Source organism: Homo sapiens, chromosome 12 (assembly GCF_000001405.40).
Source record: "Homo sapiens chromosome 12, GRCh38.p14 Primary Assembly".
In the NCBI taxonomy this organism is placed as follows: domain Eukaryota; kingdom Metazoa; phylum Chordata; class Mammalia; order Primates; family Hominidae; genus Homo; species Homo sapiens.
Window position 1 is genome coordinate 114,262,819 of NC_000012.12, and position 17,086 is coordinate 114,279,904.

A 17,086-nucleotide genomic window follows, 5' to 3' on the forward strand; every position below is an offset into this window, starting at 1 on the left:
TCCTTTGGCTCAGATTCCTCTCCCTTGTACACTGTAAAATGCAGTTATCTTCCTGCTGTCAGGGTTGTTCTTGGCAGAATAGTCATCAGCATCATGCAGGGGCAGGTATTGTAGCCCCATGATGGGCTGTATGGGTACCAGCAAGACACAACTTGAGCTCTGAAGTCAGACACCTTGTGTTCGAATCCTGGCTCAGTCACATACTAGCTTTTCAGAGAGATTGGTGGGATCTGTTTGATAGTAATTGAAACAATGGTTTGAGAGCCAGAGAAGAAAGTGCTTTCAAATTCTGAAAGCTAGCTAAATGACACAGGTCTGTCTCACGGGAGGAGATGATGGAGTGTGTGAAGAGTCCTTGGGATGGTGGTCAGAGCCATCAACACCTTCCTCACCATTCTATTTATTGACTTCCACTAGATTCAAGTGAGTAAGGAGGGATGAAATTACTCCAAGGCTTGAATCAGCTCTGAAGTCAAGTTCTGCCTTTTGTTAAAGTGGAATCCCTGCTCCCTGGATTGGCAATGATTCAAAGCAGATATGCCTGGGGAGTGGGGGAATGAAAAAGGGAGAGGTGGTCTCAGCTAGAGTTCTGGGGAGAGTAAACACAGGAGTTTCTGCCACATGAGAAAGAACTTTTAGTGAGTCATCATACATGTTTTGTTGCCAACATTACAGGGAAGGGTTAAATAAAAGAAGGCAGTTGAGTCAGGTCCATTGTGGAGCTCAGGGACCAGGGGAAGAATATTGATTTCCTCTGAGTCACTTTGGACTGACCTATTAATTCAGGCTCGCTGAGAAGGTGGAAAACATGCAAGTTGCACTTGGCTGCACTTTTAATGCTCCCTTACTGGGACAATCCAATGTCTTCCAAATGAATGCATGGGGGAGGGGTTCAGGGTAGAGGATATAAAGTGAGAAGTGGTCAGGGTACAGTGAGCTTCTGACAGATGCACCTGTGACATCACTCTGCCATCCCTGGTGACACTGTGGATGTTCACTAAGTGTTGATCAACTCTTAAACTGAATGCTGCTCAAAAGAAAGAAGTTAACAAATCTTAGACACACTATAGCTCTGGGCTTCAGGCTCTATAACTCAACCTTGAATTTCTCAACTCTTACCCCCAAAGTGAATCTGCAGTCACCATCTTTTAATCTGGCCTGAAATAGTTTCGTTTGTTACCAAGTTTGTTAAAAGTCATGACTTAGAATTCCATTTCTATCACTTGCTAGCAGTGCATTTTTGAGCAAATTACTCAAACATTTCTACACTTTATTTTTTATGCCTAAGATGACGGTAATTATAGCATCACCTTATGATTTTGTTTTTGTTTGTTTTTAAGATTAGACGATATTGCACATAAGTGCTTAGCATACAGCCTGAATCACAGAAATGTTCAGTATATTTTAACAACTTTGTGATTGTGTTATATATATTTTTGCATTGTATAACGAGCAGATTTCAGAGAACTGAGTATCAAGGAGGGGGATAAAATGGAGCTATATTGGAGCAAGCTTTTTATATTTTACTAGAATTGAATTACTATTAATCTGAAGTAGATTAAACAAATTAAGATTATATTATAATCCCAAAACAATCACTAAGAAAATAATTTTTAAAATATAGTAAAAATAACAACAGAGGAATTAAAAGTTACACTTAAAATATTTATATAACACAAAAGAAGGTGGTAACAGAAGAACCAACTCATTCTTGTTGGCTTGTCCACACAGGTATCTTGTCAAACAGTGGACTGTTGTCCTTTAAATTATCGATGTGGCTGACAGATCACATGGCCCAACCAGCTGTACCATAATCAAATCAGCTGGTCCAATCAGCTATGGCTGAGGAATCACATGATCAAATCAGCTGGTCCATTAGAAAGACACCACATGGTTCCTTACCCACTTAGCCTAGATGTGGATGTGGATTCTTCCAGGAGCTATGAGTTCAGCATCTGAATACATCTGAAGAGGTGGACAGAACCAGCAAGGAATGTTTCCCCCACCCCAGACAAATGAAAAATGGAGCCATTACAAAGATTTTGCATCAATAAGGGATGATGACACAGTGCTGGAGGTAGAGAAGGGGAACAGGAAATTGGGCTCTGTAAGGTTCAGTGAGAAAAAGAAAGCTATACCCCCATCTCATGTCAGGGCCCTTTGATTATTCCTACAATAAGATGGAACTATCTGGTGGAAGGGCTTCCAACCAGCAAGACTCACAGGGTCTGAGATCTAAGACTGCAATTATGATGTAACCTCTGGGTCCAACTTGGAATGGGTCTTGGAAAGTTGGTTGAATGAAATGTTGCATTATCATTGCTCAACTCTGCCTACTCTGGCCACAGGCAATAGCCTTGCCCGTAACTCCCATTATCTGAGCAACCACATTTTGTGCCATGGAATGCCAACCTCATGACCTCTGTTGATTAAACCTGGCGGAGGCCCATGCACATGTCTGAGAGTCTGTTATGTCCCAGGTGAGGTCACCCAAGTTTGTAGTCTGGGCCTTGGGGTAAGGCTTCTAAAACTTTCTTCTCACCTCTGCCTTAGAGATCTACTTCTCTTACTTCTCAACATTTGTCTGTGCCGTTTCCTTTGCATAGAACACATTTCCTCCCCTTTATGTGGCGACCTCCCCACAACACATTGGGGTGGCAATGACTGTAGCACTGAAAAAACTGAGATCCAATCCCAGTCCAGCCTCTTACTCTGGGACTTGGGCAAATTATATAACCTCACTGAGACTCAGTTTATTCATCCTTGATAGGTTATTTGGAGAATTATATTTTAAAAAATGTGTAGAATTTGGCATGCTGTGTGGAACAAAGAAAGACCTCAGTAAATTATAACTTTTGAGGACCATGATAACGATGAAGACAGACAAGATGATGATGATAGTGACATGCCATCTCTTACGGGAATCCTTCTCTGGTTTTGACAAAGATGTGTGCTCTACACTCTTCTGGTCCCCTGAACATCCCCCTGTCACAACACCACACTGCATTGCCATTACTTACTGACTCATTTCTCTCCATTAATAGTAAATTCTTTGTAGTCAGCAACTGTGTCTTATTCACCATTACACAGCCTGGGCTTTGACATACACTGGGCATTAGATTATCTACCCAAAGACTTGGCCTCCTGAAGCTTTTCTTGTCTCTCCCATGGACTGTTAAGAAGATGAGCTATGGAATTAGTCAGACCTGTGTTTGCATCTAGGATATACCAGATATAGGCTAGGTGACCTGTGTCAAGCTACTTAACCTCTCTGAGTTTCATTCCTCCCACCTATAAAATGAAAGTTAAGAACAGTTTCTACCCTATGGGATTGTCGTGAACATTAAGTGATAGACTGAATGTAAAAAGGTTAGCCCATCCATTCATCAAATATTTATTGAGTACCAACTATGTGAAAGGAGATATTCTAGAAGCTGGGGGAAAAACACAAGGAAAATTGCTGCCCTCGTGGGGGAAGTCTGACCACAAAGAAAGAAAAATCCAAATGAATGCATAATAGATTAGAAGGAGAAAATATATGGTAAGAGGATAGAGTAGGGGGATGCTAATTTCATAGCACTCAATAAATGTTTATCATTCTCACTAATATTCTACCCTGACACACCCACCAGGGAAAACAGAGAAGCAACCAACCTCGGAACTTGAGAGAGTTTAGATCTAGGGCTCCATCTCCAGCAGTTGGCTGAGGCTGGTTCTGGCTCCCATACCCATGGAGCTGACTCTGCTGCCAAAGTCTGCCTCCTTCTTACTGGGAAAGAGCAAAAGCCAACTTTTCATGACACCTGTAGTAATCCTTGGTGGAATGTATCTGAAAAGATGCAGGAGAAATTCTTAAAATATATTTCCCTCTGACCACAATATATTCCATATGCTTGGAAACTGTTGGGAGGGAGCCTGGTGTGTTGAGTTACCTCTGGTAAATGTTTCTCTCCCACACTGGGGAAATCCTTATCAGGGGGCTCTCCTACCTGACAGCTGGAAGGAATTTAGGAGAAAATGCAAAGTGCTATTGCAAAAGAGGAATCAAAACCGCAAGAGGACTTGAGAGCTTCTCTCACAGTGAAAGGGTTTAAGGCTTTGGGGGGCTGTTTAGCTTGAAGAATATTCAATTGCTGGGATGGGGTATTAAGAGACCCTCTCCCACAAGAACTTGCTGTGCAAGCTTGGGAAGTCTACTGGCCCCCTCTGAGCCTCTGTTTCCCAATTTGTAAAATGATGGTGAGCCTTATGGTTAGAGTTCTATTAATTGCAGAGGATCTATTTATGAATGTATGGCTTTTTCTGTGGGTTCTTCCCATGGAGGGAAATACCCTCTAAGGAACTGGTGGGTACAGCACTGAGCAGAAATGAAAGGAAGTAGAAGCCAGTCTCCAATTGAGAAGGAAACTCTTTACATTTGTGACTTTCAACCTTAGCTGCTCATTGGAAGCAGCGTTGAGGTCCCCTGTCCAGAGATGGTGATGCCTGGGCATGAGGAAGTTTAAAAAGCTCCCCAGGGGATTCTGATGCTTAAACAGAGGTGAGTTTCCAAGACCAGTCTCATGATCTTGCTAAATCTAATTATTTCCCCTTCCCTTGTGCTATGGAGCTGGCAATTAGATCTCCCTAAGAGGGGCAGGTATATGATGCGTGCTTTAAAACAGAGAGAGCTAAATTCTAGTCCTAGCTCTGCCACTTAATTGCAGAGTAACACATGACAAATTAATGTTTCTGTGCATTAGTTTCTTTATCTGTGAAATGGGGATGAACATCATAGCACCCTCTTCATAGGGTCTGTGGTGATTCATTTAGATATGTATGTAAAGCCTCAGCACGTGTTTTGCACATGGTCAGCACACAGTGATGCTGACAATAACTAATGATGATCGACAATGACCCTCTTGGAAGTGAGCTTCAGGCGACTTAGAACAGTGATTCTCACACTTAAGCATGCATTGGAATCACCAGAAGGGCTCTTTAAAATACAGACAGGTAGACCCCAGCCCAGAGCTCCTGACTCACGGGTTCTGGGGTAGAGACTGAGAATATGCATTTCTGATAAGTTTCCACTGGACGCCAATGCTGCTGGACCAGGAAAGCACACTTTAAGAACCACTGTCTTAAAAGGAAAATAACAACACATCCTTCACACGGTGGAGTTTATCTCCCTCTTCATTAGGTTTCTATCTCTTTGAGCTTCTAAGGACATGAAAGCACGTAAGTTAGGAACCTGCATAATAGAAACTGAATTTTATGACTTGGCAAAGCCTTAGAGATCTATTCTTCTCTTTTATGTTGCACTTGGAAAAATTAAAGCTCAGAGAGGGGAAGGCATTTGCTCAAGGTCTCACAGCAAGTTAGTAGCAAATCTAGCACAAGAACCAGTTCTGGTCTCCACCTGTTATGGAGCCTGTTGAGGGAGAGAAAGAGGCTTTGAGCCCTCCAGGGTTGGTTCATCATGGGCTGTGATCACAGGAGCCGGAGTCTCAGCTCCATAGTCAGCCACTGCCAAACCTGATCCCAGGGAACCCACTCACCTGAAGAGGTGACCTGTGGCCACTTATTAAATGACACACCTTTTAAATGGCACACCCTACTGCAAACCTTGTGGCTGAAAATTTAAACAGTGAGACTGGCCAAGAGGAAAAGTAGTGATAGCAGCCAGCATGGTACAAATGTGGGGACCCTGCACCCTCATACAGTGCTGGAGGGAATGTCAATTGCTAGAACTTTCCTGGGGGGCAACATGTATTTCTAAGAGGCATCACCCTTTCTGCCTCAGGCTCTAATGTGGCTTGGTATGGCACAGTTAATGATCTTGTCTTTAAAATTTCGATACTTTATTTGTTATGGATGTTTATATGAGTTTTGATTTTTTAAAAATAGCTCATTAAAATATTAGTCATCTTGATTATTGACATTTTTGGTACCCCTGCAAATTTTGTGCCCTGGGCAAGTGCCTTCCTCCCTGCACCCTCATCCTAACCCTGTGAAACATAACCCTGGGCCTCTCACATCATGGAACATTTCAGGGGACTGTGCTTATATGGAGCACACGTTTTGAAATCTGTATTATCATTGCATGTGCTTAAAATAAGCAAAATGCCATGAGTTTGGTTTTGTTTTTCAAGTATCAGGAAGGAAAGAAGAGAGGAAATGAATAAACTTCTTTTTAATATGGAGTTTTTAAGAAATATTTGTGACTATATAACATTTCAAATGGAGTCCTAAGAATATATTAGATTAAAATATATCTATTAAGATATATTAAAATATATTAAAATGCATCTATTAAGATATAGATATCAGATACTTCTCAGTTATCTGATGCCGACACAGTGCTGTGTGAGCAAGAACCACAAAGCCTTAGTGGCCTATGGAATGCCCAATGCTCATGTGTCTGGGGTGAGCAGCCTGGTGACTCTGTTAATCTTGGCTGGGATTGATCACATGACTGGGGGTGGCTGGCTGTTGGCTGGGCAATTGGGAGGACTCAGTTCTGCTCCACCTGTCTCTCACCCTCCAGCAGGCTAGCCTGGGCATGTCCTCACAGTGATGGCAGAAGGGGAGAGAGAGGGAGAGAAAGAGAGGAAACACACAAGGCCTTTTGATGTCGAGGCTCAGTACTGACATGCTGTCACTGCAGGCTGAAGCAGATCATGCGGCCAGCCCAGCTTCAGGGCTGAGGAAATAGACTCTGCCTTGTTGGTGAGGGCATCTTCAAAGTCACTTGGCAAAGGGAACAACAACCGGGGAGCATGAAGAGGGGAAGCTGTTAATGTGCATTATCACAGATAACAAGGTGGTTTTCACATAGATTGTGCCACAAAAATCCCAAAGTAGCTGTCCAAGAATTAACTATTAGTTATTAACTATTAATATTATTAACTAATAATTAACTAATATAATTAACTAATAATATAATAGATGACTCTTAATACCACTCACCTCATCAAGGATATGTAAGGGTCAGAAAAGAAGAACTAAGGAGAATATATTTATTTTTAGAGATTTATCCTAGAAGTTTTACCTCCCCTAAGGAGCAGGGTGGAGATAATATTTTTTACTCCAGGACAAGAAAAGGGAACTTTAAGAAAACTACCTGGAGAATTTCATATAAGACCCCACAGTATGGGATAAACTGTGAACTTGTATCTGACTCCCATATGAGAAATAGGAGACAAAAAAATAGATGGGTTATCTCAGCTGAAACAGAAGTGGTTGCCTTAGGAAAGATCTTCACCTGCAGATTTCATTGGAGCCAAGGATTCTGAGTGTATCCTGTGAACCCACTGTGGACTATGTGTGAGAGAGAGCTGTTGGCTGGTGTGGGTCACCTGTAGTCAACAGGGACACATGGAAGGGTGCACAGGTCCCAGGAGAGAGCAGCCAAAGTATTGCATAATTCCTGGAGGCTCCTGAAGGCTTAAGCAATGAGCTAAGGTGGTGCTCTTTGAGCAGAAGTCAAAAGAGAGGCAAGTGAGGGGTCCCCAGTGATGGGACAACTCCAAGGAACGTACATAAGTGCCCATGAGAGGACAAGTCAGTGCAGAGAGCTTAGAACCATCTTAAGACAGTACCAGTCAAGCAAGAACTTCCATACTCCTTTCCTTTCTCCTGCCTGCCTGGCCCCCACCTGCTCAAACCCAGAAGCCAAAGTTAGCTAGTTAGAGCCAAAACGTGGAGAAACAAGAGACAGGCCAGTTGGCAGGTCCTACCTGGGAGAGAAAAAAAAAAAGATTATTTAATTTTAAAGCCAGTTTGAAAGAGGGGAATAATAGACATTGAAAACTCCAGCATGTACGATAGTGGGAAGAGGATGAGGGCTAAAAAATTACATACTGGGTACGATGTTCACTATTGAAGTGATGGGTATGCTAAAAGCTTAGACTTCACTGCTATGCAATATATCCATGTAAGAAAATTGCACTTGTATCTCTTAAATCTAAATAAAAATTTTAAAAAGTCCAGTTTGAAGTTTGAAAATTAGATGGGACTGTGCCTCCTAAATTCTGTAATGAGATGGTGTCTGGTGACTTAAAGTGACCAGAGGATCTTTTATTATTAAGGAAAAGGTAGGAAGAGCATCAAACTGCATGGATTTTCACCTAGGGACAGCGGGAGAACTCCTCCCCAACCCACCCCCACACACATACACACTCTGAATACATTCTACAGACTAATGGGAAACAAAAATAAAATTGTTTTATGACCACCCCTTCATCCATGCCTTGTATGATATCCCAATTACACTCAAAGTGAAGAAAACTTTTTACCACCTCCTCGCTACATATATGGCAGTGAAGAAGCTGAGACTTCTCTGATCTTGCTTCTTCGCATCGTTGGTTCTGAAACATTCCCTGAATAACACTTTCTGCTCCCTCCAGTGACTTCAGAAAGAACCTAGTGTGAGGAGGAGATGGGATGAAAAGGAGATAAAAGAAGACATCATTCAAAGATGCATACAGGGAAGATCAACCCTCCTGGGGCTCAGGGTGGTTCATGGATAATCCAATCAAGGAGAGGCAGATAGTTAAAGGGGCGGGGGGCGGGGGGGGAGGGAATGCACAAGCTTTATAGCCCAAGGTTTGTTTTCCCATATGTATGGGAAATGATAATATCTTCATAATAGAATATCTTCTTAATATAGTAGTTAGAATTAAAGAGGGATGTGTATATTAAGCTTCTGTGCATAGTAGGTGCTTAATTAATATTTCTTTTTACACACTCTGATTTCAGTCCTAAATATCTTGAGGCCAGAGTCTGAGCGTGGGGGAGTCAGATCTTTTAAGATTCATGTGGGGGTAAAGAATTGCTCTTTCCCAAGCAAGAATGCCAATTCATGTGTCTTTTTCTCCCATTTGCAGTGATTCCCTCAGCTTTTAAAATAATAGAAGAAACACATGGAGCTTATATGGAGTTCATACTTCATCTTAGGAAAAAAAAATCTACAGCTTTTGTTTTACAATGTCTTATTATTTCATTAGCATTTGCAACTGAAATAGGAATAAATCAAAATTCACGAAGATGTTTGATCCCCACTTCTTGGATGTTAAACAGAGAATGACCTGGGCTGTGAAATCTACAGCTGTGCACACAGTTTTCTACAATGTATGTACTTAAGTGCCATACAGTTCTTAAAGGATAATTAATCATTGCTACCCATCATCAACCCTACAGAAAGCAACTAGTTTCTTGCATGTGCCGTGTTCTCTCCCACCATTGGAACCTCATGTAGGCTCTTCACTGTGCCTAAGGCACCTGTCCATCTCAAACTCCATTGTCATCCTCTCAACTTTCAAGTAATTCAGCTCAATTGTCACCACTTCTCAGAAGTTTCCCAGGACCCCTCATATTAGGTTAAAACCATTATATGCTCCTAACACCCAGGACATCCTCCAAAACACTTTGTATCTATGACATCATTAAATTGTTCCTTCTGTGCTCACTTCTAATCTCCATAACAACAGGAACGCTGTTTGTGCATTTATGCATCCCAGCATGTGACAAAGCGTTTGTCACACATTGTTGCTTAAGTTGCATATATTTCCAGTCCCACCTGTATGAACTTACTCTAGTAAAAATTAAACCCCAAGGGAAGAGCCTTGGTGCCTCCAAGCCTCTAAGAAAAAGTTTCTAAAAATGAGCAGAGGGGGAATATATTTTTTACAAAGAATGTTTTGACGGGTACCTCTTAAGTTTGCATTTTCCAAAATGTTCCTTGTTCCCTTGCCTGAATAAACTTTCACTGATTCCCTGATTCCCATTCTAATACCCAAACCAGGCAAAGATCATAATTCACAGGAGTAATATTTGCAGATTAAAATAAAAACAGCCACATTCTGCAAGTAACATTGATGTCTGGCAAAATGTCTCCGCCAGAAAAATATGTGAATGTCGGATGCTTTGCAGGACACGGCCAAATTCCTTTTATTCTCTCAGAAATATAGCAGGGTAGTGCACATTCTGATTTGGATGTACTCCCACTTTCTGGAGTAAGGGAAAATACAATAAAAACCTGGACGATGATCTCATGGAATCCTCAATTTGTCAAGATGCATCTCTTCTAAGTGGCTTTTTTTCAAAGCTTGAGATGCTTCCAAAATATTTATAAAAAGCAGCAGGGCTCTTAAAAGTTAGGAGACAATCAAAGACCTCCAAGAAAAAGAAGAAAGCACGGTTGCTTTGCAACCTCCAACAAAGAAGGAATGAGGGAGGGCAAGCAGGTATGAGCCATGGGGGAAAATTGGGAAGCTCAGCACACTTATGCTTGGCACATCACACTTTTCTTTTGGAATCACATTCTACGGGAGTGAACATTTGCTTTCGAACCTTATTAACCTAGCTGGTAATTAAGTCTGAAGTGTGAGCATTGGCAGAAGATATTTGACATTTAGGCAGCGCATAAACCATTTTCTTGTCTAACTCTTTTTCTTTTTTTCTTTGTTATTACATATGTTAAAGACAATACATTTTTCTCCATGAAGAAGAAAATTTTAAAATATTATCTATTATCTTATGACCCCAAAATAACTTCTAACATTTTAAGAGATGTCTTCTCTCTAGCCTCTGAATGTGTGTCTACACACACACACACACACACACACACACACTTATACTATTTTTTACAAAAACTAGATATTGCTGCGTGTACTGTTTTACCAACTGCTTTGTTTTATTCTTTAAAAAAAAAAAAACACAATCAATAGACAGGCCTATGTTCTGAATCTGCCTTTTATGCCCTGTGTGAATTTGAAGGCATCACTTAAATAATCTGAGTTTCAATTTTCTCATCTGTAAATTAAAGCTCACGGTAGTACCTGCCTCATAAGGTTATTTGAGGACAAACATCATACCAGGCAAATGCTTAGCAAATAGTGAGCCCTGTGTGTGTGTACATGTGCGCTCCCATATAATTAAGTAGTCTTCTTCCACATCATTAAAAAATTCAACATAAAATTCCATTGTATAGACAGTTGAATTAACCATCTTCTTTGTCAGGCATAGGTTCATTTAAAACATGTTCAGCCGGGCGCGGTGGCTTATGCCTGTAATCCCAGCACTTTGGGAGGCCGAGGCGGGCAGATCACAAGGTCAATAGATCGAGACCATCCTGGCTAACATGGTGAAACCCCACCTCTACTAAAAATACAAAAAATTAGCCAGGTGCGGTGGTGGGCGCCTGTAGTCCCAGCTACTCGGGAGGCTGAGGCAGGAGAATGGCGTGAACCTGGGAGGCGGAGCTTGCAGTGAGCTGAGATCCACCCCACTGCACTTCAGCCTGGGTGAGAGTGCGAGACTCCATCTCAAAAAAAAAAAAAATATTCCAAAGTTTGTTGACATATTCATCCTTATTTTATTCTTATATTTCTATGGAGTTGGTATTAGTCATGTGGATAAGAATAGCTAATATTCTACTCTAAGGATCGTCAAATGCTTTCTGTAAAGGACCAGATGGTAGATATTTTTGGCTTTTTGGGCCAGAGTGGCTCTGTCCCAACTACTCAACTCTGCCAAGGTCATGTGAAGTCAGCCATAGACAATACATAAACAAATGTGTATGGCTGTGTTCCAGTAAGGGTTTATTTACAAAAACAGGTGGCAGGCACATTTGGCCCAAGAGCCATTAAGTTTGCTCATCTTTGTGTACTGAATGTCAGCCAATGTTCTAAAGGAGTCACCTGGTGTATTAATCCATTTTGTGTTGCTATAAAGGAATGCCTGAGACTAGGTAATTTACAAAGAAAAGAAGTTTGCTTGGCTCACAGTTCTGCAGACTGTATAGGAAGCATCTGCTTCTGGTGGGGGCCTCGGGGGGATTCCAATCATGGCAGAAGGCAAAGTAGGAGCCAGCATGGTGAGAGATGGAGCAACAGGAGCTGGGGAGGGGCCCCAGACTCTTTTTAACAATCAGATCCCAAACACCTTCCACTGGGCCCACCTCCAACACTGGAGGTTACATGTCAACATGAGATTTGGAGGGGACACACAACCAAACCATATCACTTGGGTAATCTTATTTATTCTCACAGCAACCCTAGAGCGGTAGTAGGTGTGAGTATTCTTCCCATTTTACAGGTAGAAATGAGAAGTAAAATGCCACCTGTTTTCCAGAACGGCAAAGCAAATAAACAGTTGGGTTAGAGCTCACACCCGAGCTCCCAGCTCCCAACTCCTACCTTTTCCTTTTTTACTCCACTCCCTGCCTCTCAAACCCTTTCTCCAAATGAAATCCCAGCATTGATTGTTCAGCAGCCTCAAACAACCTGCTCACATTCTTGGTTTATGAGGACAGCAGCCACAACAGGCAAACCCTTTGACACCCCCTTTCCGGGGTGATTTTGCACATGGTTTAGCAGTGTCTCTGGGAAGGGTGGCTGGGGCCATCGCAAGCCCTGTTTCTACATTTTTAGTCTCATCATTATCCATTCCAGCAATACATTCCAAGTATGATCCTGCCCCAGACTCAACTATGTTAACATTTTTTTGCTTTTCTATGAAGCTCCGGTCTTAGAGATCAAAGTTAGAGGCACAGTCTCTAGGGATCCAGCAGAGAACTTCCAGAAAGAGTCATTCGCTTCTAGTAGGAACATGCAGTGACCCCAACTCACACATGTGCCTTTTTGCTCTGACAGCCACTGAGCACTGCTCTGCAGTGGAGCAGGAGAAAGCCCCCATGCCTTTTTAATTTATTGCCTAAAGAGGCAGGGTTAGAATGTTGCAGAGGATTTCTTGCGTGTAGCTGATCTGAGATTTTCCAAGTTCCAAGAAGGGGTCAAGCGGCAGCTACAGGACATTTTCCAAAATGCAACAACCTATGTGTTTCTGTCCTGGAAGCAAAAGAGGCACTATCAGATGGCTGCTTCTCTCTCATCAGTTTGTCTAACTGATCACTGGAAGAGACTCCAAAGTGTAGATGTCACAATTAAATGCTGTCCAAATAAGGAAACTAGTCAGGGAACAATAGGTCTAACTCTTAGTCTTATAACTACTCAATTCGCTGGCCTTTTAAAAGTCAGGCATAAATCTTTGGGCTAAGCATCTATGCAGGATTTTCACATTTTTTACTCTCTTAGGTTTATATATTGGTGAACATCTTTAATTTTGTTATGTGTTACTACCAAAATACCTGTAGGAATGTTAACAGTCTGAACCAAATGATATTCTCAAACTCATGTAATGTTTTGCAAAAAAAAAAAAAAGAAAGAAAAAAGAGCAAAGATGCAAAGAATGTTTTGTGGTCAAATGAGTTGGAGAAATTCTGCATCGTCTAGTCTTTATCCTTCCTGGAAACTCACAAACCATATTAGCATATTAAAGGCTCTGAGGAGTCCTGCAGAAAAAGATCCTGTTACCCTTTGTTTAGCCCAGCATTTTCCATGGAATATGCACATGGCAAATATCAGCATCCCACAAAACCAGCTCAGCAAAATTCACTTTAGGAAATCTCATTGTAGAGTAATGTTCTCTTTGATTTGTAAAAAGAATCAGCCATCAGCAAGTCTATCATCAGAATGGACTTGCTCATCTCAAAGGTGGAGAGAAATTCTCTCACTGGTCCAGTTTCCATCGTTGGTTGGCACTATCCATTCCTGGGGGCTCACATTTGTGGGAAGCCTGGTGAGAACTTGGAGGCCCATCATAGTCAAGGAATGGAACAAGACCAACTGAGTCAGACGAGAAGAGAGTTTCTTCAGTTTCAGTTTGAGCCAAAACCTGATTTATCTGGGATCATGTTTGGGTCATTTTTTGCCTGCAATCTCAAGTATCTAGAACCAAGCCAAAAACATAGAATTTGGTCAGTTAGTCACACTGATAAGCATGTTGCAATCTCTTTCCAGAATCTAGAGGAAGAGAAAACTCAAAGACCTTTTCTTGTATTGTTTACTGTTGAATTCTGGTGCCTGTCACAAAAGATACAATGGACAAATACTTATTGTAGGAAAAGATGTTCTCCCAGTGTCAGTGTACCTGTCTTGGCAGAAGGGACTTTGTAATGCAGAGAAGACAGACGTCAAACATTAAGAAAAGGCACTGAAATTCAATACACTACAGTCTGGGGCCAGTCAACATTGGGATAAGTTGTTCACCACCAGCCACTGGGGACCCCAAAAGATAGAATTCAGGATAAGAACTGGTATTTGCAATAAGGCATCAAGAAAAGTGCAACTGTTTACAAAGGCAGGAAATATGCAACACAGTTTAGAAAGTTTGCCTTTAAAAAGTTTGTCATCTAAGCAAAGAATGACTTTCTCAGAATTTCCAGCTGTGAGGAGATGAAGTTGCATTGGCTGAACACTTTCTATGCATCAGACAAGTTGCCTCTAGCACACATCATATCATTCAAAACTCTCAGCGAGACTCTGATGAGGAATTGTTTTGCCAGAGGTACAGTTAAGGAGCTGACACTCAGGGAAATTCACCTGCCCAAGCCACTCCCCTGGGAAAGCACAGAGCCAGAGTTGAAGTTTTCGTCTGTCTGACTCCTGTAAGCAAATTAAATATGGCCTGAGAAGGACTCCATACTTCTATATTCGGGTCCTTGTGGACAACCTAACTTAATATGTAGACAAGACTGAAAACCTAACTTAGGAGTATGCACCTGTAACAACAGCTGAGTCTTGGCCAATCCCAGCAGCCATACGTCAACCACTCATACACTGCTGTGTTCAAACTGTGTTCAAATAAAGCAAATGCTGAGCTGTAACCAATCCAGTTGTTTCTGTACTTCACTTCTGATTTCTCTACATCACTTCCCTTTTTTTGTCTATAAATCTTATTCCAATATGTGGCTGTACTGGAGTCTCTCTGAATCTGCTGTGATTGTAAGAGCTACCCGATTCACTAATAGTTCATTGTTCAATTAAACTCCTTTAAATTAAATTCAGCTGAAATTTTTATTTTAGCACTCCAAACTTGACTTTTTATTACCCCATGTTGCCCTTGGCCTAAAAATTTCATATTATAAAAAGACATCTTGATGACAAGGAAACACTTACAGAGTATTAGTTATCTATTGCTTCACAACAAATAATCCCACAATCTAAAACACAAGCATCTATTATGTCACAGTTTCTGTGGGTCAGGAATTTGAGCACAGTTTGGTTCTGGCTCAGGCTCCAGGGCTGTGGTCTTCTCAAGGCTCAGAAAGAGGAGGATCTACTCCCAAGGTCACTTACGTGGCTGTTGGTGGGTGTCAGTCCTCTCTGACAGTTAGCTAGAGACATCACTTTTTTGTTATATGGGCCTTATCACTGGGCAGCCCAATGACATGGCAGCTGGCTTCCCCCAGGGTAAACAAGGAAGAGTACAGGAGGAAGAACATACAAGACAGAAACCAGCATTTGTGTAATCTAATCTCAAATGTGACATAGTATCATGTCTGCCATATTGTATTCACTAGAAAAGGTCACTAAATCTGACCCATACTCAAAGTCAAGAAGACCAGGAAGTGGGAATTATTGGGAGGTCATCTTAAAGACTGGCTATCACATAAAGGAAACTAATTTGAAGCGAAAATCAGTGCAAAAGATTAGGATTAGAAATAAACTGAATATCCAATCATATGAAATGGAAGTTTATCCATAGGCTAAGTCTGCAGCCATTGAAGCCATGTCTTTTAACATTTTTGAGTGATCAGGAGAAGGGCTCAGCATAAACTAAAAAAGAAAACTCTTGGAGGTGGAGATATGAGGGGAGAAGGGAGAATCCAGAAGAGAAAACATGAAAATATTTATTAATGGCAATTTGTATTTTCTTTGTAATTTTCTTGATGTTTCCAAATTATTACAATGATGATGCACTACTTGATTAACAAAAAAAAACTCTAATTAATTTTTTAAACAACTAAGGTGAAAAAGCCTGATCTTTCTTGAGTTCCACATAGAATGAAATACAGAGATAAATAGTAACTTAAAATTAACTTGAATGCAATTCTTCCACCAATGCTAGCTGAAGAAGCACATTTTTTCCATAGGAGGAAGAGAGACAGGATGAAGTCTTCTAGCCAATGGATGAACTTGAACTGTTTTTACATTTCCTATGATTGGATATTTAGTTTATTTCTAATCCTATCTACAGGATAAATACAGAGGTACAATTAATAGCCTCTGCTCTATGGTGGCTCACACTAAGGGAGGAGACCATCCCTCATATTGTCTTATGCCCAATTTCTGCCTCCAAAGAAAGAAGAAGTAAAAACTAAAGGCAGAAATGAAATCCACAGGCAGACAGCCCGGCGCCACACTCTGGGCCTGGTTAAAGATCGACCCCTGACCTAACCGGTTATGTTATCTATAGATTCCAGACATTGTATGGAAAAGCATTGTGAAAATCCCTGTCCTGTTCTGTTCCAGTCTGATTACCAGTGCCTGCAGCCCCCAGTCATGTACCCCCTGCTTGCTCAATCGATCATGACCCTCTCACGTGGACCCCCTTAGAGTTGTAAGCCCTTAAAAGGGACAGGAATCGCCCACTCGGGGAGCTCGATTGTTGGAGATGTGAGTCTTGCCGAAGCTACTGGCCGAATAAAGCCCTTCCTTCTTTAACTCGGTGTCTAGGGGTTTTGTCTGCAGCTTGTCCTGCTACAACACCTATAATCTCAACACTTTGGGAGGCCAAGGCAGGAGCATCACCTGAACCTAGGAGTTTGAAACCAGCCTGGGCAACATACAGAGGCCCTGTCTCTACAAAAAAATTTAAAATTAGCCAGGTATGGTCCTATATCCCTGTAGTTCTAGCTACTCAAGAGGCTGAAGGAGGAGGATTATTTGAGCCAGAGAGGTTGAGGCTGCAGTGAGCTATGAATTTGACATTGCACTCCAGCCTGGGTGACAGAGTGAGACCCTGTCTTTTAAAAAAAAAAAAGAAAAGAAAAAGAAAAAGTCTCCACTCTAGGACCAACAAATTGTATCTGCTCTCCCCTCTGAGTACCAAACACCCTAGTCCCTCTGAATGTTAAACTCCAGCACGATTCTAAGGTCTTGCATTCACAAAGCTCCTCTGTTCTCCATCTACATCTGTCCCACCCATGCTCTCTGATGAGCTAGCGAGATGGGTGATATGGACAGAAAGGTGTATCTTTCCT

At 41.6% G+C, this 17,086-nt stretch overlaps 1 annotated feature.

Moving 5' to 3' along the window:
- Positions 584–4,068: an enhancer, noted in NCBI's record as "CRE9". NCBI's record gives its function as "enhancer in posterior portion of the heart" and the evidence as "EXISTENCE:transgenic organism evidence [ECO:0001131][PMID:22543974]".